The sequence below is a fragment of the Homo sapiens genome, chromosome 2, assembly GCF_000001405.40.
Source record: "Homo sapiens chromosome 2, GRCh38.p14 Primary Assembly".
Lineage (NCBI taxonomy): Eukaryota > Metazoa > Chordata > Mammalia > Primates > Hominidae > Homo > Homo sapiens.
In genome coordinates this window covers 101,326,223-101,352,718 of record NC_000002.12, presented here as the reverse complement: position 1 = coordinate 101,352,718, position 26,496 = coordinate 101,326,223, and the positions used below count along the sequence as shown (strand labels likewise).

General features: G+C 43.2%; 1 protein-coding gene across 1 annotated transcript in view, besides 5 other annotated features; it reads left to right on the top strand.

The window, feature by feature from the left end:
• The window catches only part of CREG2 (cellular repressor of E1A stimulated genes 2), a 41,954-nt gene extending 34,785 nt beyond the window's left edge, over positions 1-7,169 (top strand). Inside the window, exon 4 of the mRNA NM_153836.4 lies at positions 1,649-7,169. Within this exon, the coding sequence (NP_722578.1) occupies positions 1,649-1,796 (148 nt within the window). The 3' untranslated portion in view covers positions 1,797-7,169. The remainder of the gene's footprint in view (positions 1-1,648) is intronic.
• Positions 13,036-13,820: an enhancer, noted in NCBI's record as "OCT4-NANOG-H3K4me1 hESC enhancer chr2:101955361-101956145 (GRCh37/hg19 assembly coordinates)". NCBI's record gives its function as "activates a minimal SCP1, AML or CMV promoter by ChIP-STARR-seq in primed H9 embryonic stem cells {active_cell/tissue: H9 hESC(primed)}" and the evidence as "EXISTENCE:reporter gene assay evidence [ECO:0000049][PMID:30033119]".
• Positions 21,298-22,074: an enhancer, noted in NCBI's record as "NANOG-H3K27ac-H3K4me1 hESC enhancer chr2:101947107-101947883 (GRCh37/hg19 assembly coordinates)". NCBI's record gives its function as "activates a minimal SCP1, AML or CMV promoter by ChIP-STARR-seq in naive H9 embryonic stem cells {active_cell/tissue: H9 hESC(naive)}" and the evidence as "EXISTENCE:reporter gene assay evidence [ECO:0000049][PMID:30033119]".
• Positions 21,298-22,851: a biological region, named in NCBI's record as "NANOG-H3K27ac-H3K4me1 hESC enhancers GRCh37_chr2:101946330-101947106 and GRCh37_chr2:101947107-101947883".
• Positions 21,938-22,232: an enhancer, noted in NCBI's record as "tiled region #6404; HepG2 Activating DNase unmatched - State 1:Tss". NCBI's record gives its function as "activates a minimal TATA promoter and a strong SV40 promoter by Sharpr-MPRA in HepG2 cells {active_cell/tissue: HepG2}" and the evidence as "EXISTENCE:reporter gene assay evidence [ECO:0000049][PMID:27701403]".
• Positions 22,075-22,851: an enhancer, noted in NCBI's record as "NANOG-H3K27ac-H3K4me1 hESC enhancer chr2:101946330-101947106 (GRCh37/hg19 assembly coordinates)". NCBI's record gives its function as "activates a minimal SCP1, AML or CMV promoter by ChIP-STARR-seq in naive H9 embryonic stem cells {active_cell/tissue: H9 hESC(naive)}" and the evidence as "EXISTENCE:reporter gene assay evidence [ECO:0000049][PMID:30033119]".

The following is a 26,496-nucleotide window of genomic DNA, read 5'->3' as shown; positions in this document are numbered from 1 at the left end:
CTTGTGCCTCAGACTTCCGAGTAGCTGGGATTACAGGTGTGCACCACCACGGCTGGCTAATTTTTATATTTTTAGTAGAGACAGGGTTTTGCCATGTTGTCCAGGCTGGTCTCGAACTCGTGGCCTCATGTGATCCTCCCGCCTCAGTCTCTCAAAGTGCTGGGATGACAGGCGTGAACCACTACGCCCAGCCAGGCACTACCTTTTTATAAGCCCTCACTGTCAGTCTCCTCAGGGTCCTTCCAGCTTCCACCCAGTGCCTGGGCCCAGAGCCAGTGCCCCATGGATTAGGGTTTGCTGCACCAGCACCACTTCCAGGTATCAAACTTTGTTCCAGTTATCAGTACAAAAGTAGGTTTCTTAAAACAACAATCATGTTATTATCTTGGCTGCATAATATTTGGGGTGTTATGGCATCAGATCAGCAACTTTTGTTCAAATGGATTAAGAAAATAAAATAGTTTTGGATACTGTACTTCCAATTTCCCTGTATGTTTATTATTGTTTCAAAATAAATTATTCTTTAAAAAGATGATTGACTGAGTGTGGTAGCACACACCTATAATTCCAGCACTTTGGAAGGCTGAGGCAGAAGGATTGCTTGAGGCCAGGAGTTCAAGACTAGCCCGGGCAACATAGTGAGACTGCATCTCTACAAAAAAAAAAAAAATTTTTTTTAAATTAGCCAGGCATGGTGGCACGCTACTCATGAGGCTGAGGCAGGAGGATCGCTTGAGCCCAGGAGATCGAGGCTGCGGTGAGCTATGATCCCGCCACTGCACTCCAGCCAGGGCAACAGAGCAAGATTCCATCTCTAAAAAAAAAATTTTTTAATAAATAAAGATCATCAACCTATTATTGCATTTGCTTTGTAATAAATGTTTTTCCCAGTTTGGACTCGGTCTTTGAATTATGTTTATGACATTTTTTAGATATAAAGGAAATTTTTATGAAGTTAAAAAAAAGAAGTAAGCCACAGCCCCTGCCCTCAACGATACTGCAGCGTGTTTAGGGGTATGCATCGGGGAGAGGCAAGTCAGTCAACAGCACAAGACGGGATGTGACGTTGCCTGTCAACTCTAGCTGGCTCTCACCTGCCTCAGTAGCTCTCAGCCTGCTGCACGACTGGAAATCTTCCCATGAACGAACTGGTTTCACAAGCTCACCATTTTGTTAACATTTCATATAGAGATGCATAAAGCCTTTCTTTATGTTTCCAAAGAATGGTAACCAGCCTCCACTGAGCACTCACTCTCTGCAGGTGTTTTCTGTGTGGTTCATTGCCTGCTTCCCCACACAGCCCTATGAAGAGCCGCATCAGCATCACTCCACGTGACAGGTAATGAGACAGAGGCTTGTGAGTGCCAACAGCCCACTGGCGTCACAGCTCATCAGCAGTTGAACTGAGATTCACACCAAGGAGCCTGGCCCACGTCTTGAGCCTCTAGCCACATGGGGTAAGGTCTACAGTCCCTGGCTTCCTACGGTGGTCCCAGGCACTGACACTCAGCTCCCTGGTTCTGCCTCTGGCTGATGTGAGCAGCTGTCAGCCCAAATGAGGCCTGGACTCTGGAGGTCCTATGACTTGGCCCAGGGTGCACCTCTCTGATAAGAGCAGCTTTACTGTGGTCTCTCTTTATTCCTGCAGGCACCCAGGGATGAGGAAGTGGCCTCGTCAATATGAATGGTTCTTTATGAAGATGAGGATAGAACATATCTGGCTTCAGAAATGGTATGGAGGCGCATCCAGTATTTCAAGGGAGGAATATTTCAAAGCAGTTCCCAGAAAGGCCTGATGGAGTGAGAAGAAAGTCCTTGGTGTTTGCACTTAAATGAAAACCTTTTCAGTGATGCAGCCAGACAGCTATTGACCACTGTCTCTTTGTTGAAGGGTTCATAGCAGCCCTGCCATCCCTGCAGCAGAATGAGAGAGGGTGAACAGGGAACTCTATGCTAGATTTGAGATTAAAGTGGTCATTTGCAGATCTCCAACTCACACAGATACTTCACGTAGATAGTCTTTATTCCATTGTATTCAATCCAGACTCATCGATTCAGAAATCATATAATAGCTGGTGGTCAAAATGACATGTTGAGATCATTGTTGTTTCATTGTTTAAGGAAAAAAAAAAATGCCTGTACCTACAATGTGATTGCTTTGTATTGTGAGAGTATCTTTGTTGCTTGCTCTGCCAAATGCAGTCTTGGTTCTAAGTTCACTGTGACCACGAAGCAGCTGACTGTGCATCACGCAGTCACAATATTGTTTTTAGGGTGAGGGTGGAGGACTGTGTGTCCGTGGATTACTCCTCCTGCTGGTGGATTGCAGATGCATTATTAGGTCATACTGGCTAGAATGCAGCTTTTCTCCCACCATAACATGAAAACAGTGTAAGAACATAGGGTGCTTTGTGCATAGCCCTTCTCTATGTAAGCAGCCATGGCAGTCATTAAAGAGAAAGGAGTAGCTTTGACATTAAGCTCCCCAGATCCCTGCTGCTCATACTTCTGGCAAGGGTTCCCCTCTCTCATGCATGAACAGGGGCATCCAAAATAAGAAGCTCTCCATTCTGTGGTGGGGAAAGCGGAGAGGGGAGTGGGTGAAGCTGGGAAAGTAAAGGCAGCACGTTACAGAAGGAAGAAAGGAAGCCAGTAACTGAGGGCCCACTGCCTGCCCGGCCCTGGGCCAGGCCCTCAACAGAAGCCATCTCATTTAAGCCCTGCAACCAATGAGATGCACGTCATCATTGGCTCTTACAGACAAGAAAACTAGACTCAGAGGGGCTGAGTCCACATCCCAGACAGCTCACTGCAGACACAGGTGGAGTGGTTCCTACAAGACATCCAGTTTTAACAACAAAAGAGTTATTGAAATGCATGGGTAGAAATTGAACCAGGAAAATCAGTAAAGTGATTGTAAAAAAGAAGGACTAGCTTGCCTGGAGATGATGTTTCTTGCTTTTGGAAAAAAAAAAAAAGTCTCTGAAATTTGATTCTTACTACAGATTTAAAACTTTCTACATATTATATGTAGGAGCTCCTAGTGTTTTTGAGAAATTAGACTGTACCTGTGTACACTTCTAAGGTCTACATGGACCTATGTATATATATCTAAGACCTCTGATCATTAAAACCTATAAAGGGTTGAGCTGTCCCAAGTTTTCTGTCTTTCTGTAATGGCTACAAACTTTCTTTGGTAGGTTAGGGAGGTTGTATAACATAAAAAACACATCACTATATGTAGGAAATATACATTTTTCAAGTAAATAAGAGTGTTATTAATGATTATGAACTTTTGCTTAACAAAATAACATACGACGAGAGCTTGAGTTGTCAAAATATATTTTAATTATCTATTGCTAAAAACATAGTAAGATGCAGAGAATTCTTTATTTGTCATAAGCCAGTCCTCAAAAGAGTTCCTAACAGTAGTGATTTCTAATATATAAGAATAAGGTACTTCTGAGGGAATTTTATATTTTCAGAGTTTAAAATTATTGCTACTCCCAATTTAGAAAAATGGGGAGAAAGCTGGAAGAACAAATGACATGCTCAAATGTATTGCATAAGTCAACCTCACACCTTAATACTGGGAGCTTCTCTGCCTCCTGATCCTGTCTTGCAGATAAGGTCCCCTGGCTAGGTTTGCGTTTATAGTCAGGTTCCATTTAGCTCATTAAAGGTCACTGCTGCTTCAAAGGACTTTGCCCAGTGGATGCCATTCATAACCACTGATGAATGTTATCAGCTATTTATCCAAATTACAGGAAATGAAACCTGAAAAGGTTGGGTAAGAATAGTGTTGAAAATTCACAGTTTTAAGTTTGATGGTCTCCATTCAGGCAAGTGTGTTTCAGCAAATCTCTAGAAATTTACATTGATTAAAATGTTAGAGGCTGTTCTGGAAGTTCTAGACATGGCAATAAGGCAAGAAAAAGAGATTAAATGCATACAGATCGAAAGAAAAAAAAAGTACCCCTATTTAGAGATGAGAGGATTGCCTACATAGAAATTCCAAATAATCTATTTTTTTTAAAAAAAAACTCTGGAACTAGTATGTGAGTGCAACAAGGTCTCAGGACACAAGATCAGCATACAAAAGTCAATTGCATTTCTCTATGCTAACGATGAACATGTGGGGAAAAAAACTAAAAACACAATACCATTTGCAATCACTCCAAAGTGAAATACTTCCGTATAAACAAAACTTACCCAGGACCTATGTAGTGAAAATTTTTAAATGCTAAGAAAAGAAATTAATGACCTAAACAAAGAAAGAGAGATACCATGTTCTTGGATTGGAAGATACAAACAGTAAAGATATCAGTTCTCCCCATCTCCATCTCTAGGTTTAATGCAATTCCTATCAAAATCTCAACAAGGATTTTGTAGACCTATACAAGCTTATTTTAAAAGTTACATGGAAAGGCACAGGCATTGAAATAGCTAAAACAGTCTTGTAAAAGCAGAATAAGGTAGGAGAAATCATTCTATTTAATATAGAGTTATGATGTAGCTACAGTATTCAAGAAGTGTGGTATTTGGTGGAGGCATAGAAACACATTGATGGAACAGAATAGGGAATCTAGAAATAGGCCCACACAAATATGCTCAACTGATTTTCTTTTACAAAAGTACAAAACTAATTCAACAGAGGATAGCCTTTTCAATAAGTGTGGAGTAAGTGGACATCCATAGGAAAATAAAATGAACCTTGGACTAAACTTCATACCTTATGCAAAAATTAACTCAGATCATATCTGTAAAAATAAAATGTAAAACTATAAAACTATAGGATATAGAAAATCTTTTGGAACTAGGGCTAAGCAAAGGGTTGTTAGACTTGATACCAAAAGCACAATTCATAAAAGAAAATTTGATAAATTAAACTTCATCAGAATTTAAAACATTTGTTCTGCAAAAGACCATGTTAAAAGGCCGAGAAGACAGGCCACATACTGGGAGAAAATATTTCCAAACCACATATCCAACAAAAGATTAGTATCTAGAATATATAAAGAACTGTCAAAACTCAACAGCTAAAAAATTCTAATTAGAAAATGGAGCACATGAACAGACATTTCACTGCAGAGGATATAAAAATGGCAAATAAGCGCATGAAAAGACATGAAAAGACAGTCAACAGCACTAGTCACTAGGGGAACTGCAAACTAATACTACAATGAGATATCACTACATAGCTACCAAAATTGCTAAAATAAAAAATAATGATAACACCAAACGCTGACAAGGATGCAGATAAACCGGGTCAGTCATACACTAGTGGTGGGAATAGAAAATGGAACAGCCACTCCGCAAAACCATTTGCCAGTTTCTCATAAAACTAAACATACAACTGCCATACTGACCCTCAATTGCTCCTGGGCATTTATACAAGAGAAATGAAAAGAGGTTCACACAAAAACTTGTGCATGAATGTTCATATCAGTTTTATCCATAATGTTCAAAAACTTGGAGAAATCAGATGGCCTTTAACGGGTGGCTGGTGAAACAGTGGATGGTGCCTCTATGCCCGGAATACTACTCAGCGATAAAAAAGAACTAATTACTGACATGGGCAACCACTGGGATGAATTCCAGAGAATTGTGCTGAGTGAGCAAAGCCAATCATAAAAGTTTGCACACTGTATGATTCCATTTACATAACATTTTGAAATGCAAAATTATAGGAATGGAGAATAGATTAGGGGTTGCCAGGGAGGAGTGGGGAGAACAAGAGAGTTGGGCATAACTATAAAAGGATAGCACAAGAGATCCTTGTGGTGATGGACATATTCAGTATCTTGACCAAATCAATGTGAAAATCCTGGTTGGGATATTGTACTGTAGTTTAGCAAGATGTGCCATTGGGGAAAACTGGGTAAAAAGAACACAGGATCTCTGTATTATTTCTTACAACTGCATGTGAATCTACAGTTATCTACAACTATCTCAGAATCTACAATTATCTCTGAGTAAAAAGCTTAACATAAACAAGATTTAGGGCTTAGCTTAATAAAGCATTTATACTCTCTCTCTTATTAGTCCCTAATAAAATGAGGAACTGAGCTATAAGCCAAAACCTAGTACAAAGAGACAGCATTTCATTTGTTAACCGTTAATATATCCATTTGCAGAAGAGGTGTAAAATTCTTTAAAATTTTCCTAAATATGTTCAATTTAATGTTAAATACAAATTAACAAGAATTCAACAAATCTGCTGTATAGATTTTAAGTGGGTCACTTAGGAGGAGAGGACATCTTCGAATTTCTGATATAAACACGTTGAGTAAGCTATAGGTGTATATAAGTATCCAAGTGTGTATATAATGATTCTCCACTGATTTTATAGAGAAGAACTATATTTCCAGTAATCTTCCCCTAAATATTGTGGGAAATAATTCTGTTTTAGTGAATAAGCTAATTAAAGTCTATCCAGACCACCATGTTTTTATTTACAGTGACTATATATATCCATGATTTTGACATAGAGTATAATTCTGATGTTACTTATTTCAATATGCCTTGTATATATTAGCTGTTTATAAGAGAGTCGCTTTTTGGTTGAAAAGTATTTCTAGGCTGAGCAAGGTAGCTCATGCCTGTAATCCAAACACTTTGGGAGGCCAAGGCAGGAGGATCACTTGAGGTCAGGAGTTCAAGAGCAGCCTGGGCAACATAGTGAGACCTCATCTCTACAAAAAATATTTATTAAAAAAAAAAAAAAAAAAGCCCAGCATGGTGGTGCACACCTGTAGTTCTAGCTACTCAAGAGGCTGAGGTGGGAGGATTGCTTTGAGGCCAGGAGTTTGACCTCCTGAGCTGTGATCATGCCACCACACTTGAGTGATAGAGTGAGACTTTGTCTCTTAAAAAAAAAAAAAGGTATTTCTACAATTTTTCCAAAAAGTCTGTATTTATTTAAATAATTGAACTATCAAATACTGTTCTGAAAATAAAACCTCTCTAGGATAATTTATTGATGCTTATTTGATTGCTATAACAGAAAGTCAATTATTGTACAATTTGAATTGTAATGATGTGATTATTTGTGCCATGTAATGCATGTAAAATGTAAAATCTGTTTTCAAAACTAGATCTATTTAACCAAAGACTATTTCATTCCTGATATGATTTGTGTGCTTGATTAAATGAATTTATGATATTGATATATAGTCCTTTCATGTCATACTACAAATTACCATTACTAGAAGTTCTAAGAAAATAGACACGACTGCAGAGAATCAGCAGTTAATTTTCCAATAGAAAAGAAAGAATTAGGCCAGGTGCGGTAGCTCACGCCTGTAATCCCAGCACGTTGGGAGGCTGAGGCAGGTGGATCACCTGAGATCTGGAGTTGGAGACCAGCCTGGCCAACATGGTGAAACCCCGTCTCTACTAAAAATACAAAAATTAGCCGGGGGTGGTGGTGGGTACCTGTAATCCCAGCTACTCAGAAGGCTGAGGCAGGAGAATCGGTTCAACCTGGGAGGCAGAGGTTGCAGTGAGCCGAGACTGTGCCATTGCACTCCAGCCTGGGCGACAAGAGCGAAACTCAGTCTCAAAAAAATAAAAAAAGAAAAAGAAAAGAAAGAATTAGCCAGGTTACTTTTGTTGATTTCTTAAGGCTCTGCATAAAATGCACCTAATTTGCAGACTCAAAAATGCCAATGTAGCCATGCTTTGGTATTCCCACTCTTGAAAATATTTGCCATTTTCAACATAGTTGTTATTCCTGGAGTTCAGGGCTAGGAAAAAGCCCCATCCCACAGATGAACAAACATGCACAAGGGGTCACACATACAAAGTGTGGCAAAAAATGATGTGTGCCCACGAGGTCAACCCTGTGTGACTGTAGCTTCCACAGACCACCTGCCAACACCCTGGCTTCTCCAGGATATTCTTGTCCTCCACTTAGGGTGGCAAACTGGCCTGGTTCACCTAGGAATGGGGAGGTTCCTGGAACGTGGGGCTCTCAGTGGTAAAGTCAGGAAAATACTACCATACTGAAAGAGGTTGGTACCCCTCCCTTGACGCCACCTCTCAGTCTCCCACATCCTGGGCCACCCCCTGGAGCAGGCCATCTCCAGGGTGACCCACTTCTGACCATGCACTCAGACATCTCCACCCACACTTCTGTCCTTCCAGCCTTTCTCCCCTGCCGCCAGAGCACTTGCTCAGGAAGGTGACCGACAACAGGATGGGATTGCAGTGGAGAACACGGCCATGCCCTGCACTCAAGATACAAATGGTTTCTAAACAGTAAGTAAACAAGCACGCTTGGACCCCAGGTCATCATTATGTAGATTCAGTGCCCCATCCCTTCAGCCAGTAGTCTCAGCATCCCCACTGTTTTCATCAGAACCACGTGGCAAACTCCAGCCTGGATAAATTCAGCATTCATCTCTGCAGCTGAATAACATTCACAAGGATTGCTTTGGCCTTAAATCCAAGGGCTGCCATCCCTGACTAGGCCCTCCTTGTAGCAGGGCTTTCCCTGCAGCTGTCTCCCACCCTCTCCTATATGCTCCCGGGGAAATGGGCTCTCTCCAATGAGCACTCCCTCAACTCCCTGGAGAATTCCTCCAGTGGCTGCAGCCCCTTCCTCCTCCTGCCTGCCCTGCTGGATGGTTTTCCAGGGCAGGGTTCCCCGGCCTGGATGTGGGCAGGAGCCGGGGTCCAGACTCATCCCAGGTAGAGACAGGTGTGATGGAAGAAGGGGAAGCAAGGGGGCATTTAAGGTGTTTTCTTTTCCTTTTTTTTTTTTTTTTTGAGACGGAGTCTCGCTCTGTCGCCCAGGCTGGAGTAGGGGCGCGATCTCAGCTCACTGCAAGCTCCGCCTCCCGGGTTCACGCCATTCTCCTGCCTCAGCCTCCCGAGTAGCTGGGACTACAGGCGCCCGCCGCCACGCTCGGCTAATTTTTTGTATTTTTAGTAGAGACAGGGTTTCACCGTGTTAGCCATGATGGTCTCAATCTCCTGACCTCGTGATCCACCCGCCTCGGCCTCCCAAAGTGCTGGGATTACAGGCGTGAGCCACCGCGCCCGGCCTTTTGAGACAAGAGTCTTGCTCTGTCACCCAGGCTGGAGTGCAATGGCGTGATCTCGGCTCACTGCAACCTCTGCCTTAGCCTAAGAAATTCTGCCTTAGCCTCCGAGTAGCTGGGATAACAGTTGCGCACAACCACACCTGGCTAATTTTATATTTTTAGTAGAGACGGGGTTTCACCATGTTGGCCAGGCTGATCTCGAACTCCTGACCTCAGGTGATACACCCGCCTCGGCCTCCCAAAGTGCGGGGGTTACAGGCGTGAGCCACTGCGCCCAGCCGTTTAGGGTGTTTTCTAAGAGCGGATAGGGTGGGAAGGAAGGTAGTGCAGGCAGCAGGCGGCTGTGACAGCCGCAGTGGGGGACCTGAGACCACGATCTGGAAGGCCCACCATTGTCCACAGTGAGACATGTGAACGCCCAGTTCCAGAGAGATGACAGCGATGACAAGGCCAGGCTGAAGCTGTGGCAATGGACGGTGGAGGTGACCGGGAACATGGTGGCTGGGGTGAGCCAGATGCCGCAGTCACAGTGAAGGTGAGCAGGAGGGGCGAGACGAGCAGAGAGGAGGGAAGAGGCTGACTGGGAGCCATGCGGGTAGGGGAGGGTGCCGCCATCCTGCTTGTCGGCTACTGCTGAGGGCTACTGATGTGAACTTTCAAGGAGCAGGGTTGTTTCGTGTTTCGTGTTGCTTTACCGGAGGAGGAATGATCTGCAAAGCATGAACATAGCTTTATAATAGACTAACGTAGCTTGAATCCACTGTTTCTTAGCTTTGTGAATTTCGGGACTGAGTGAATCCTTCGAATCTCAGTTTCGTCCCGTGTAAAATGGGATAATTATTATGCAATGCCTGGCATGCCGTAAAGGTTACGGCATTATAGGATATGGTGGCATTATAGGACTTCTCATTTGCATATCGTATAGATGACATTTGTCCACGTGTCAGTCGCCTTAGCAAGACTGGGAGCCAGTAGAGGGGCTGATTTTGCACACGGCCATTTATGGCTCCTGGTAGGTGCTCAGCAAATGACTAGAAAGAACGGATGAGTTCGTTTTCTGAGGGCTTTGGGCCGGAGCCCCTGCCCAGGTCTCAGTGGGTAGCCTTACGGACACGCTTCATTTTTTCCTGCTCCCCCGCGACTCCCTCCCTCGCCTTCTTACCCCGCCTCACTGAGGTCTCCCACCCTTCTAACCACTTCCAGATTAGCCCCTGAGCCTCCCGGAGTTTCTGATCAGCTCCCGGGTTTGCAAGCCTGGCAATTTTTCACTGCAGCCAAGGAAAAGAACCACTGCGCCCCCTGGTGGCTCCATCTTAGAAACCTCGCCTTTCCCAGAGCCCAGCATCCTGCCAGGAGCTAGGTGCAGACATTAACCTCATCTGGTGTTCACATCCACCCTGCAAGAAAGAAATGCTTCAGTTTTTCACATGCTAAACCTGAGGTTCAGCAAACTCACAGACCTGCGCTCCTGGGCTTCCAGGGCCAGGGAGGAGGCTGAGCAGGTATTAAACCCATGACTGACTCCAACCTCCTTTCTCTCCTCTCAATGCTTTGGGGGTTTCCAGAACGCAGTCAGACCTATTTTCCCCTCCTTGAGTTTTCCCTCTCTTCCTTCCGTTCTCAGCACCCCACCCTCTCCCTGCTCTCGACAGTGGCTGTCCCTGGCAATGGCCCCAGGCTCAGGGAGGAGCAGCTCCAGCGGACCGAGACCAGGCTCCATCTGCATCCTTCACAAGCCGTGTCTTCCCTGGTCCTCACGGCGACCCTGTGAGGCAAGTCCTCCTATTCTCGCTAATTGCCAACTCAGAAGCTGCCCAGAATCACACAGGTAATAACTGGTCCATTGTGAGCCCAGGTTCATGCTCTCAACTACCACCCAATAGTCTTACCCTGGCGTATTTATGTATATTTTGGTATTCTATTGTGATTGAAATTTTGATTTTAATTCAATGATACCTACAAGAACCATAACTTCAGTGGGACTCATGATGGCCTCTAGCCAGGCTGGGGAGCTTTGGCCCCGCCCCGGCTCCGCCCCTTCCTTTCTTGGGTCTTTTGCTTTGTCGTCCCTACCAACCTCTCTATAGCGAATCCCCTGGATTAAATCTCTCTCTGTTTGAAATAGTGTGTTTGGTTTCCTGATTGGACGCTGACTGACATGCCTCCTAACAGACATTTTCAGGGCACTGATCTCTTAGTTTCTCATGGAATGAAGGCATTTGTTCTATCATAACCACATTTCACATTTCCTGTGTCATCTTATTATATTTTAATTACTTCTGAAACCAGGCTCTGGATCTGTCTTAGTATGAGAGCCATTTTTAATAGATCCTTTTTTTTTTTTTTTTTTTTTTTTTTTTTTTTTTTTTTTTGAGACAAAATCTGGCTCTGTCGCCCAGGCTGTAGTGCAGTGGTGCGATCTCGGCTCACTGCAACTTCCGCCTCCCAGGTTCAAGCGATTCTCGTGCCTCAGCCTCTGGAGTAGCTGGGATTACAGGCACCCACCACCACGCCCGGCTAATTTTTGTATTTTTAGTAGAGACGGGGTTTCGCTATGTTGGCCAGGCTGGTCTGAAGCTCCTGACCTCCAGTGATCCGTCAGCCTCGGGCTGGGATTACAGGCGTGAGCCACCGCAGCTGGCCAAGATATTTTTGAAAGAATCATGTAGTTGACCTAAAAGTGTTTGGGTACAAAAAAAAAAAAAAGTATGAATGTTTTGGGTTTTTTGTTTGGTTTTTAACAGAAAATTTTTTTATTGTATTCATCAGTGGTGTACTATATTCTGCAAAAGCAGCTGGTGATATTTTTATAAAGACCCAAGCAATTCTCCTTCCAGACATTTTATTGAGAAAGTAAAAATCAAGTCAGATTGAGAAAGGAAAAATCTTCCCTGCTATGAATCAGGCTAGCCTAACACAGACAAAGGCTGCTGCAAAGTTAACTGGAAACAATGTTTGTCCCAGGGTCATGCTACATCTGTAAAATGTCACCAACCCAGTTTTGAGTGATTTCTGCTTTCTGCCTCAGTGAGAAACCTTGTTCTGAAGTCTTACGCACTCAGAAACTTAGCTGCTTAAAATCAAATCAGTAAAAATGAAATGATCCACTTTTGCCTGGAGGATCCAAGTCTTTCAACATAGAGAAGCAGCCTCAATCTCCCACTCAGATGCAGGCTGCAGACAAGGGCTTCTAAACACAACACAGCAAAGCTATCTTAACTTCCTAATTTCCAAGAAACAGAGAACTTTGCAGTTTAGGCCCAATGCTGAACCCTAACCCACAGCCTGTTTGCCTGGACTCCATCAAAACATTGCTTCATTTAAATTTTACCTAAGGGCCTCCCTTCCCCCAAATCAAAGAACCTTGTCTCTTCTTTCTTTGGTGAAATGCCCAGTAGTTCCACTGACATGCAGTCTCCCTCATTTCCAAGAGCCAATAAGCCTGATTTCATTGGACTTCTGTCCTGTCCATCAGATCTGTCCTGATGGCCTTTGGCTAGGACAGCATCCACAGACCTAAATGCTCGCACTTCATAACCAGGGCACCCCACACACCTTCCTAGCCACCAGGAAAGCCAAGTGATTATTCAGAGTTGTTCGATGAGCATGCAAACAGAAGGTACTATTCACCTAAATTCAGAAACAGGCAAGTAAGTTCATCTTTATTTTCCAACAGACAATGCAGACAAGTTGCTCTCATAATCCAGACGTAGTGCCTCTCTCCTGCTAGGAGACAGGGATGGGGAAATGCTTAATATCACTGATGAAGCTGTATTTCAAGACATTGTACTATAAGCCATAAGATACTCTATCTCCAACAATGTATTATATATTGATTTAATTATAACTACTCATTAAGTCCCGGGATGTCCTGCCATGGCAACCAACAATTTCCAAATACTCTGCTTAAGTAATCTAGATTATATCTAACTGTTTTCATTATCTATTGCTGTGTAACAAATTACCCCCAAAAATGTAACAGCTTAAAACAACAAACATGTATTACATCATATAGTTTCTAAGGCCAGCAATGCATATTATGCACATTGCTAGAATTTCTAGGGAGTTCAAATCCAGGTAAAAATAAATATGATACTGTAATGCCTAACCTTGTTTTTTTACGAACCCTATTTTCAAATTTCCCTTTTTGTCTCCTTAATTACCTAGCCTTGTTTCTCATATGAGTAAGACTCTCCCTTAGCTGGGAAAGCCGGACAAACTACATTTGGCCCCTTGATTTACAAGACATTAAGGGCTACTTACCCAACCCCCTTCCTCAAGGAGTTAACCTGTGTAAGCAGATCCTCAGCATTTCAAAGGAGCCCAATTAACTGATAAGGTACTGGAACGAACAACATGTATGAAGTTCCCAGGATTTTGCTCAAAAGATAACAACATAAAGCCTTGAGTCTGTGTCCGGCATAGCATCCATATCTAACTCTAATAAAGGATTTAGAGCCCCGCAACTGTTCCGTTGCTTTTTTTGTAACCATTTGTCTTTTAAATTGTTTATCTCTCTGTAACCATTTGTTTTTTGATTCTTGCATGTTTTTACTTCTGTAGAATTATTGCATTTGAGCTCCCCTCCCCTACCTAAACCAAGGTATAAAAGTTAATCAAGCCCCTTCCTCAGGGCTGAGGGAATTTTGAGTGTTAGCCGTCTCTTTGGCCACCGGCTTAAATAAAGGACTCTTAATTCATCTCAAAGTGTGGCGTTTTCTCTAACTTGCTTGGGTATAACAATACTATTCCTTATTTAATGAAGATATTATCTACTTCAGTAAGTTCATATGAATGCAAACTTGTGGAAGATTTTGTTGTTGTGTGTTTTAGTGTAACAGCATATTCACATTCCTCAGGTTAGTAATACAAATAGGATTTATGTTAGGCTCCAATGAAACAGGAGAATTCCCTGATTCCCCTCATAGGACATGTGACAGGGGTGTCGCCTGCTTGGTTGCCCTGCAGCTCAAAACCCTAAAGGCAGCATGCAGATAGGCAGGTGCAGAGGCCCACCCAAGCCCTTTTGGGCTCTGGCCCCACAGCAGCATCTAAGGATGGGTGTCTTCAACTCCTAACGCCCAAGTGGGCGTGTGTTACCAAGCTCTTTTAGATTTGCCGTCTGCAGATGGCTTGTGTGTTCATCAGCTCAACGGACCCCCTGCCTTATCGCAAGGGGGATATCCACTTCCATGATCCGATCACCTCCCGCTAGGCCCCTCCTCCAGCACTAAAGATCAGAATTCAACATGAGATTTGGGTGGGGACACACAGCCAAACCATATCAGGGGTCTTGTTATTTTGCCCAGGCTGGTCTCAAACTCCTGGGCTCAAGCAATCTTCCTGCCTCAGCCTCCCACATAGCTGGGATTACAGGTGTGCACCACCACTCCAGGCTCTTATTTTCATAACATTTATTATAGTCAGCTTCTCTATACAGTATTTAGGTTGCTAGTTGGAACTAATATAATCTAGTGTTTAGCATGCACATTGATATCTTAGTTCAAAGAATTGCTCTTTTCTGATTCCAAAAGCTAACTATCTGGGTAGTTACAGGATCTGAGTACTAATTTTATGACTCACAGGAATGGCAGGAAGAAATGAAAAAAATGCCTAGTGAACGGGCTTGCCAGGGGAAGGGGAAAACTAAACCAGAAATATCGACTCTGAGATATAGCCCAAGAAAATGATTAGATTTCAAAGACAGAGATTAAATCCCAAAGCCCCCCAGGCAAAAATATTAGATAACTTAGAAAAGCAAGAGAATTAGTCTGGAATCAAACATTTCAAAGCCAAAATACAAACAAAGCAACAATGGGCATTATTTAAAAAAAAAAATGAAAGAAAGTATGATCCAAGGATTTTATACCCAAACTGTCCTTTAAATATCAAGGCTAAAGAAGCATAGTTTTCACTAGATAATAACTGAGAGAAATCTGTACCTATCTACCTTTCTTGAAGAATCTACTAGAGAATCACTGTTTTTCGCTTGTTTGTTTGTTGTTTTCTGTTTTGAGACAGAGTCTCGCTCTTGTCACCCAGGCTGGAGTACAATGGCACAATCTCAGCTCACTGCAACCTCCACCTCCTGGGGTTCAAGCGATTCTCCTGCCTCAGCCTCCTGACAAGCTGGGATTACAGGCGTGCGCTACCATGACCAGCTGATTTTTTGTATTTTTAGTAGAGACAGAGTTTCACCATGTTGGCCAGGCTGGTCTCGAACTCCTGACCTCAGGTGATCCACCTGCCTCGGCCTCCCAAAGTGCTCGGATTACAGGCATGAGCCATCGCACCTGGCCAAGAATCACTGTTATCTAACCAAATGATGACTGGGAAAACTTTAGCAATCAGACTGATGGTGAGCATTTAAGAACATAGAAGTATACATCTAAGATTAAAACAAAAATGAGACAAATGTGGAAGACTAATGTACAAATGTTATATGTTATGACAAAGTTGAAATAAGACAAGTAACATATGGGAGAAAGGAGTGAGAGTGAGGAAAATAGAATTAGCTCATTGAGTCCAGGCGTGGTGGCTCATGCCTGTAATCCCAGCACTTTGGGAGGCCAAGGTGAGCGGATCACTTCAGGTCAGGAGTTCGAGACCAGCCTGGCCAGCATGGTGAAACCCATCTCTACTAAAATTACAAAAAATTAGCTGGGCATAGTGGTGCATGCCTGTAATCCCAGCTACTGGGGAGGCTGAGGCAAAAGAATCGCTTGAACCCAGGAGGCGGAGGTTGCAGTGAGCCGAGATTGCACCACTGCACTCCAGCCTGGGCAACAGAGCAAGACTCCATCTCAAAAAAAAAAAAAAGGAAAAAAAAGATACTGATTTTAAAAAATAAACCAGATAGTAAAAATTAAGCAAGAAAACAGGGGAGCAAGTGAATTTTAAAATGTACAAGGGGGCCAGGTGTGGTGGCTCATGCCTGTAATCCCAGAACTTTGGGAGGCTAAGGCAGGAAGATCACTTGAGCCCAGAGGTTCAAGACCAACCTGGGCAACATAGTGAGACCTCATCTCTACAAAAAAATTAAAAAGTTAGCCAGGCATGGTGGCGTGTGCCTGTGGTCCCAGCTACTTGGGAGGCTGTGCTGAGAGACCTCAGCTTTAGCTCATTGAGAACAGTTTCAGAATTCTGACCTCCAAAACTGTAGGACAATAAATCTGTGTCATTTTTAGCCATTGATTTTGTGGTCATTTGTTACAGAAGCAGTAGGAAATGAGTGCAGTACTTTTTTTTTTTTTAGACGGAGTCTCGCCCTGTAGCCCAGGCTGGAGGGCAGTGGCACGATCTCGGCTCACTGCAACCTCTGTCTCCCAGGTTCAAGAGATCCTCCCACCTCAGCCTCCCGAGTAGCTGGAATTACAGGCGTGTGCCACCATGCCCGGCTAATTTTTGTATTCTTAGTAGAGACAAGGTTTTGCCATGTTGGTCAGGCTGGTCTCAAACTCCTGACCTAAGATGATCCACCTGCCTTGACCTCCCAAAGTGCTGGGATTACAGGCATAAGCCACCATGCCCAGCCAAGTGCAGTAGATATTGATGACAAATTCGTTCTCATGAAAAATGAATAAAAGCTGGAGGATAGGATCCAGTTAACAACAAAACTCAGTTCACATGAATAAATTAGACCTTGCTCAATTCAATTGAATAAGATGCCCTGTAAGATTTTTTTTTTAAATAATAATGCTAATTGACTTTTATTATTATTATTTTTTTCTTCGGAGACAGGGTCTCACTTTGTCACCCAGGCTGGAGTGCAGCAGCCTAATCACACCTCACTGCAGCCTTGACTTCCCCTAGCTTAAGTGATCCTCCCACCTCAGCGTCCCCAGTAGCTGGGAGTACAGGTGTGTGCCGCCACACTCAGCTAATTTCTGCACTTTTTTAATAGAAATAGTTTTTGTTTGTTTGTTTGTTTGTTTGTTTGTTTGTTTTTTGGGACAGAGTCTCCTGCTGTTGCCAGGCTGGAGTGCAGTGGTGCAGTCTCGGCTCACTGCAACCTCTGTCTCCCAGGTTCAAGCTATTCTCCTGCCCCAGCCTCCCAAGTAGCTAGGACTACAGGCGCGTGCCACCACGCCCAGCTAATTTTTGTGGTTTTAACAGAGACGAGGTTTCACCATGTTGGCCAGGATGGTCTCGATCTATTGACCTCGTGATCCGCCTGCCTCGGCCTCCCAAAGTGCAGGGATTACAGGCATGAGCCCCCGTGCCCAGCCGAGATAGGTTTTCACCATGTTGCCCAGGCTGGTCTCAAATTCCTGGACTCAAGCAGTCTGTCTACTTTGACCTCCCAAACTGCTAGGATTACAAGCTGACTTTTATTCTTTATGCCAGAGGCCTAAATAGTAAAAATGGGGAGAAATGAGAGAAAGTCTGATGTAGCCAGGATCCCCACATACAATAAAAAGAGCTCTTCTTGCTATAAATTGGCATCACTACTATAAAAATGTGATTTTTTTGATAAAACAAAACAGGACTATCTGTTTTGAAATTCACAACCTAGATTAAAGATAAAATACAAAGTAAAAAGGATATATTCTTCCAATACATGAGAATTTAAATTTCCAAACAAACTTATAATGATGGTTCTCATAATTTGACATTAGGAAATCATTAACAACATATGAGGAAGAGCAATGCTAATTCTGGTAGACATTTGTTTTCTTCTAAATAGCTTTATTTTGTAAAAAGAACAATCAGCTATATATAAAGGCGAGAATTGTGAAAAATAAAAATATAATTTATTATTTCATTGTAACTTTTTTTTTTTTTTTTTTTTTGAGACAGAGTCTCGCTCTGTCGCCCAGGCTAGAGTGCAAGGGCATGATCTCGGTTCACCACAACTTCTGCCTCCCGGGATCAAGCGATTCTTGTGCCTCGGCCTCCGGAGTAGCTGGGATTACAGGTGTGCACCAACACGCCTGGCTAATTTCTGTATTTTCAGTAGTGTTGGGGTTTTACCATGTTGCCCAGGCTGGTCTTGAACTCCTAACCTCAGGTGATCCACCTGCCTCAGCCTCCCAAAGTGCTAGGATTACAGGTATGAGCCACCAAACCCGGCCCATTGTAACTATTTTAAGAAATCTTTGCAGAGTTTAGTTCTTTTCCAAAGTCCCTTTATAATGATTTCATGCAAGTTTAAAATAGGCAACTTTTCTGAGTGCTCATAAAAAAGTGTCCTGAGACTTTTGTGCATTTTTCATAGTTGATCCTTTTGAAGTAGTTAGGTTAAGTAACCAGTGCAGTAAGTAACCAGCACACATTTGTAATCCCAGCACTTTGGGAGGCTGAGGAGGGCGGATCACCTGAGGTTGGGAGTTCAAGACCAGCCTGGCCAACATGGTGAAACTCCATCTCTACTACAAATACAAAAAATTAGGCGCAGCACGCACCTGTAGTCCCAGCTACTCGGGAGGCTGAGGCATGAGAATTGCTTGAACCTGGGAGGCAGAGGTTGCAGGCCGAGATCATACCACTGCACTCCAGTTTGGGCAACAGAGCAAGACTCTGTTTCAGGAAAAAAAAAAAAAAAAAAGTAACCAGTGCAAGTGCGTCCTTCACATCTCGTTTCATCTATTATGTGATTAAAAATCATAAACTTTACTGAAAATAAAAACTGCCATGATCTAAAAGCTATCAAATGGTTCTGGGTATAAAGATAAGCTGACGCAGGCAGTAAGAAATCTTTTAAGCATTCTTCAATCTGGTGAAATTACAGCTAAATAAGTTTTTCAATGTGAAAAAGACACTTAAATAATTTTTACTCAAGTAAAATTCACATGAAAGAAAATTACCCATTTTGAAGTGTACAATTCAGTAGCATTTGGTACTTTCACAATATTGTGCAGCCAAAAATGGTCTTTTTAAAACACCTTTATTTTCACAGACCATTAAGCACAGAGTTATCCACCAAATATTAGTACATGATTGCTATAAAGACTTCAATTGTTTCAGCTACAAGAGGCCAAATATCAAACAGCTATCTTACAGTGACAATTCTTTGTCTTTTCTGATGCTGACAAAGACTTTCAACTCTTTTCAGTAGAAAAAGTCAACAGAAATCAAAGGTGCGGTTAACGTTGCTGCTGAGAAAAAACTGATGCTCTCTTTACACATTTGAAAAAGTCAGGAAAGTTCAATGACCTACAGGGTGGGTAATGTTACACAGGCTTTCTGAGAGAGAACACTCAGAATTTCCAGAGTAAATTTGATAGGTTTTAAGTGACTTTAGCAGTAATGATTACATGCTGGCATTTGTATTTTTTAGTACTGGGTAGCTTAGTCTTCTATAGTTCCTTGGTTAATTAGCAGCTTCAAATATTAGACTCAAATAGCTGGAAAAGCTGGCTGGGCCCGATGGCATGTGCCTGTAATCCCAACACTTTGGGGGGCCGAGGTGGGAGGATCACCTGAGGTCAGGAGTTTGAGACTAGCCTGGACAACGTAGTAAAACCCCATCTCTACTAAAAATGCAAAAATTAGCCAGGTGTGGTGGCAGGTGCCTGTAATCCCATCTACTTGGGAGGCTGAGGCAGGAGAATTGCTTGAACCTGCAAGGCAGAGGTTGCAGTGAGCCAAGATTGCATCATTGCACTCCAGCTTGGGTGAAAAAAAACAAAACTCTGTTTCAAAAAAAAAGCCAGTTAAATGGTTCATTTGAAGATAAACATTCTTAAACACTTATTAGATTTCACCTATTTAAAAAGTGCAATTTCTCCCTTCCTACCTTTGGAGCTCCCACTAGTACCTCCTATTGGTAGAATCTAACAGTAAGTCTGCTGGCAAGAGAGCCTGGGACACCCAGATCCCACACCCAAGAGAATTTGCAAACTCCCAGCCTTAACACCGCAGAGCCAAGTAGAAAAGATCCACTGTGGCTGTAGGAGACAATTGGCCAATAACGGGCACAGCCCACTGCTTTGACTACTCAGCACCTGCACCCTTCAAGGTACAGACAGCTAAAAGACCTAACAAGCCAAACGCTCTGCCTTACAAGATGCAGTTATACTTTGCAGAAATAAAGATACTCTCACTTTCCCCCTGAAAAGGGGAAACCAGACGTCCCATCAGCCACTGTATCCTACTCTAGGTAATATTAGTTCCTGCCTCGGTATTCTGTAAACTGAAGACCAAATTGTAAAGTTAGCCACCACCCACACTGGTATCAGGGGAGACCATCTCTTTGGCCACTTCTCCATCCAGGAAGCTGGGTCTAAGATTTCCTTGTAGGCCGGGCGCCGTGGCTCACACCTGTAATCCCAGCATTTTGGGAGGCCGAGGCCGGCAGATCACGAGGTCAGGAGATTGAAACCATCCTGGCTAACACAGTGAAACCCCGTCTCTACTAAGAATACAAAAAAAATTAGCCAGGCACGGTGGCGGGCACCTGTAGTCCCAGCTACTCGGGAGGCTGAGGCAGGAGAATGGCGTGAACCCGAGAGGCGAAGCTTGCAGTGAGCCGAGATCGCGCCACTGCACTCCAGCCTGGGCGACAGAGCGAGACTCCGTCTCAAAAAAAAAAAAAAATTTGCTTGTTGGCTTTCAGGGATGTTCTGCAGCTGTGCCCATTTTGTAAACTAAGCCCAAGTTTTGTTTGGGTTTTTCCTCAATGAACTGATCATAGAAAACTCCCCATAAGAATGGAAAACTCCCCATGAGAACTAGGTTATGTGGGCCCTAACACATCATCTCACAACCCTTAGAGGCTTCCTGATCTAAATCCTGGTGAAATAAACGACATCTATTTTTCATCTAAGTGCTTGCACCATTGGGCTCTTACATAGTTACTGTAATGAAGCAGGTTCAGAAATCATACCTTTACATCAGCTGGGAAAAGGGGGACTAATTCAGGAATTTCCTTAAAACACCCAGAGCCTACCTGAGAAGTAATGAGAACCCAAATGAGCATCTACAGAAGGAGCAGGATTAAAAAAAAAGAAAAATAAATAAAAACAAATAAGCATCAAGAAAACCAAAACACCACCGAATTAGACTTGGAGAAAATTAGACCTTCTTTCCCATCCCTATCCATTCATTCATTGCTTCTTTTTTTATCTTATTTTTTAAACATGTTTATTCATGTGTTCTGACATTTATCAAGCATCTACTTTATGCCAAATGCACAGTAGATGCAGTTGTGAGCCAAACGAATCCCATGCCCTCAAGGAGCCTCTGTTGCAGCAGAATGTGCTGCATTTAGCAGACCTGCCACTCACTAGCCATGTGGTTACTCAGGACTTTCTGTGCCTCAGTTTTCTCACCCGTAAAATGGGTCAACATGGTGCCTCAGGTTGTTATGAGGATTAAATGAGTTCATGCATATAAAGTGCTTAGAATAGGGCCTGCCACATCTTAAGCACAGAGGAAATGTGAGTTTGTCTTACATTCTATTTTCTATCCACAATTTCTCACAGAAAGAGAAAATTTGAGGAGGGAATGAGTAGCTATTAGGAGGCAGGGAAGCCAACATCTTCATGCTAGAGACATGGACAAGGAAGCCCAGGTACCACAGAGTATAAATGGTGGGATGCAGATCATCTAAGGCCAGGGTAAGCTTTCTGAGGAGTGGTTTGGGAGATCCTAGCATGGCACTGCTGAGTCTGGCAGATTGACTATATGTGCTAACCCGACACTCCCTACCTATGTAATTCTGGGCAAGCTTTATTTACCCCTGGGGAGGAGAAGGAGGACGATCTTGCGAGCTGAAATTCCTGGCTTCTGAAGGGCAGAAGCAGAGCAACTAGCTTTACACAGGAGCACAGGGAGTGGCGCTTCAGGGTTCTGGCCCCTGCATGATTCTTCAACAATTTCCAGTTTTGTGCTGCTCTAGTTCAGGTTCTGAGAGAGGGCCCTGCTTTGCACTACACTGAGTTACTTACCCAAACTTTGACCAAAAGAAAAGGAAGCACTTGAGTGCTATCCATCAAAACTAGTCCTGTGTGGAAGACTATTTCCACAAAGCAAAATAGTCATGCTCGTACCAGAAGAAAAGGAAATAGGCCTGGCCAGGAACGCCTAGCAGACACCCAGCACGCTGAGCTCACCCGCCTGGTCCTGCCGGCGGGGGTGGGGAGACTTGCAAATGGGCTGAACAAAGGCTGCATTCTCCCACTGATCTCAGAGCAGGTTCAGAGAGCAGGGCTCCAAGGCTGGTGGGGCAGCCCAGCCCTCCTCAGCTTGGTCAGTCTCTGCTTCCAGGCCAACTACTCTAGGAATATCTATTTCTCAGTCAGAGGGAAGGGAAATTGGGTGTGCAGACGTATTTGCTTGTTTGCTAATGATGTTTTGCTGATTTCCAAATGCATAAGCCTATACAGTGGCTACAGCAATGCTACGGAAACTCTCACCTGCCATCAGCCTCTCTCGGCCTCTGGGCTCTGATGCAAAGGTTCTACGTCCGTCCAAGTCCTCCAAGAAGCAGACTCCAAGATGGAATGAATAGGGCAAGGATTTTATTATGCCTGTGAGAGATAACAGAGAGGAAGCTGGGAAAGGTTGAGAGAAACATTAGACCCCATGCAAGTCTGACTTGAGTGAAGGAGAAAGGGAAGAAAGACTAGCTGGAGGTGTCCTAGACCCTTATGTGAACTAAAGAAGTTTCCACAAGACCAAAGGAAAGCCCTCAAGACAAAGTTGGCCATCAGAAGAAGTCCCCATCTTCCAAGAACTGCCTTAAAATGCCTGGTTAAAGTGCCCAGTCTTTGACTTAGAGCAGCCAGCAGCCCTGGTCATTTATGCCCCTGTAGTTTGAGGTCTATAAGATGCATTCTATGAGCACAGCAAGTTCAAAGTCACTTAACCTTAAGGGTGTATTCTGCCCAGAAATATGAAATTCTGAGAATTTAGGTCTGCAGACTACAAATATTCATACAACATATAAATGATAATTGATTTCATTTTATGCCTTCCTTATGGGGTCTCTGCTGTTTTTTGTTTTTTGTTTGTTTTTGTTTTGAGAGAAGCACCTATCTTTTGCTAAAATACAAGATATTTATGAATAGGAGCTCTAGGTTCTATATTTCTTGACTTCAGCCTCAGCAATGTAGAAAGGTAGTTTCTGGAAGAAGTATAATTACAGAAAATTGCCTCTGATCCTGATGCTGATGCCCAGCTATGCAGCTTTAGAACTTGTTTTATTAACTCGCCCATGAGTTACTATGCCTCCCATGAACTGAGTTCACACGACTGGTTTATACACCATCATCACAATTTATTAATGTTAAAAGCAGATAAAATCTTTGTAGCACACCACGATTGTGGCCTTAATGTTACACCTGTTAGATTTTCAGGCAGCCAGATTATAGCTCAAGATTGCAAGATAAGCATGGCGACATACGAAAGAGGGTGGAGGGCTTTTATGCATCTCCTCTGTGGCCTAGGCCAGGCAGGGTGAGCTTCTGCAGGCAAAAGGAGAGGGATGCAAGGTTCTGGGGCCTTCTGTCTGGCAGGTGCTCACAGGGTACTGACTCAGCCTTAGTAATAACACTGCCTCTCTCCTTCTAATATCTCCTTCTGCAGTTAACGAGAACTTTGATCTTGCTGCACAATTCATTTATTTATTCAATAAATATGTGTTAAGTATGAGTGTGGTTAATTGTCTTGGGTATTGGGAACACAGTGATGAATAAGGTATGAGCCTCCTTTTTATTTGCAGCAATAATGTGAAATATCCAGATGGCTGACTAGATTGTATCTCAGGGAGACCCCACCATCTGCTTCCTCTGATTCATGGGGGTAATGGCACCAGTGGTTTTTACTGCACATTCTGGAATTTAGACTCAGTGGAGTTCTCAGAGGTCTTCAGAAATCTGTTTACCCATTTCTGGTGGACTCCTTGTCTCATTCCTAGCAGCTGTTTTGCTCCTTCCCTTATTCTGTAATCCCAACACTTGCCCCATCTTAGTTTCTGGTGACCTCACTTCCTATTCTTTTGAGAAGAGAAGAGTCATTTGCCCAGAACGATTTCAGCTTCCTGCCTCTGCACGTCAAAAATGTCTGTGTCCACACTGACCTTCTCATCCTTCTCCCTGTGTCAAAAAAGGAAATACACTTCCTTCCTCCCAGCGTTACCTCTGTACATCAACCCCACCCTTTTAGCTCATTTTGCAAACTTGTTCCCACAACCACTTCCTCTACTCTGCAGCCTCAATCTTCCCTTACCCCTGGTTCCTTCTCTTCAGCTGACAAACATTACTGTCTGCCACTCCCCAAGAAAGAAAACACTTCCCTCAACCCTTCTACTTCTTGGAATTACTGATCTTGCTTCTTCTCAAACAACTTAAAGTGGTCTATTCTTATGGCCCCCAACACTTAGGCCAATACCAAGACTCTGCAGCACACGACATTATTCCCATTGTCTTCTGAGCCTGTCCAGCCCTGGGTGCCATAAAGCTGTAGTCTTTAGGGTCTTCTTCTCTGAACATTTATCTGCCATTGTCAGTGGCTCCTCCTCACTTCCTTGCCCTTCCCAACCCCCACTCCTTCTCTCCCCTCCCACCACCACAGTTCTCTCCTGGCTAAGAGTCTCTTTAGTCTTTTGTCTCCCCCGCTGAGTGTCTCAGCCCTCATGGCTCCATAATCATCTCCGTGCTGTTGCTTCTCAAATTAGGATTGTGAAAGTTTACCTTTCTCTCAAATTGCTGACCTGCATTGCCTGTGCAGCAGACTTGCATGTCTTGCCAAGCACCTCAAGCCAAATTCATCATCTTCCCACCAAACCGGTTCTTCCTGCTGCCCTACCTAGCTTAGTTTTTGCATCATCATTATTTTCAGGCATCCTTCGTTTCCTTTGTGCCTATTTGAGCAGTTTTCAGGACCTGTAAGTGTTGCCTCCATCATCTCTCCTTACATGCTGTCATTCCTTTCAGATCCCTTTCAGGCCACCACTCTGATTCAGAGCCTCATTATTGGGTTTTTATTATTTAAATAGCATCCTAGTTAGTCTCCTTCCACTAGTCTTTTCCTCTTTAGGTGCCTTCTTCTCAATGATATGAGGTATATCTTTTATTTTTATTTTATTTATTTATTTATTCCTGAGACAGAGTTTCGCTCTGTTGGCCAGGCTAGAGTGCAGTGGCACAATCTCGGCTCACTGCAACCTCCGCCTCCCGGGTTCAAATGATTCTCCTGCCTTAGCCTCCCAAGTAGCTGGGATTACAGGTGCCCGCCACCATGCCTGGCTAATTTTTATATTTTTAGTAGAGATGGGGTTTCATTATGTTGGCCAGGCTGGTCTCGAACTCTTGACCTCAGGTGATCCACCCACCTTGGCCTCCCAAAGTGCTGGGATTACAGGCCTGAGCCACTGCGCCTGGCCGAGGTACATCTTTTACATCACAGTAGAACCATGTCATTTCCTGTCCCTATTATCTACCAAATGGAAGAAAAACTCCATGGTGTAGAATCCTAGTCCTTTGTAGTATGGCTTCAAATGCTTTCTGACCTTGCCTTACTTGATTTAACCTGTATACCCTATTTTTCATTCAAAATTTAACTAGTCTCAAACACAACCCCCATTTTCCCACTTCCAAACCTTGCCTTATTTTGTGTCCTATCTCAAATGCCTTTCCTTTTCACCCTGCCTACCCCATTGAAATCTTAACTATCATTCAAAGTTGACTTCAAATTCACTACTTCCATGAAACAGTGCCCAATTTTTCCATTTGGAAGCTCTCTTATTGTTTGGAGCATCTTATGGTACTTACTACAATTTACCTAATAACAAGACACACTGAAGTGAAGGTCTTATCTCTGCTACTCATTTGTAAATGAGCTTATGTCAGATTTCTCTTTGCATCTCCTCATACAGTATGGTATGCATCTCCTCATACTCAAAGTATGGTCTACATCATTAAGCACAGTGTTCAATTCAGCTGAAGTTTTTTTTTTAATTCTATAGCAAGGCTGTTTAGATAAAGTCAACAGTAGATTGATGTACATTCTGGAACAAGCTCCTTATCTCATGGCAGATTAGTACCAAACGGTTCATTGACTGGCACCAGACCACAGCTCACATGTTAAGTCGTATTGCCTTAGGAACAGTACCTTTCAATAGATTTTTTTAAAGACTTATTTTAGGTTCACAACAAAATTGAGCAAAAGGTACAGAGAGTTCCCATATCCCCTCTGCCCTGACACAGGCCTCCCCAACTAAACATCCCCCACCAGAGTGGAACATTTGTTACAACTGATGAGCCCACATTGACACATCATTATCACCCAAAGTCCATAGTTTACATTAGGATTCACTCTTGGTGTTATATATTCTAAGGGTTTGAACAAGTGTATAATGACATGTATCTACCACTATAGTATCATACAGAATATTTTCACTGTCCTGAAAGTCCTCTGTGTTCCACCTACTCTTCCTTCTCCCTAACCCCTGGCAACCACTGGCCTTTTTATTGTCTCCGTGATTTTGCCTTTTCAAGAATGT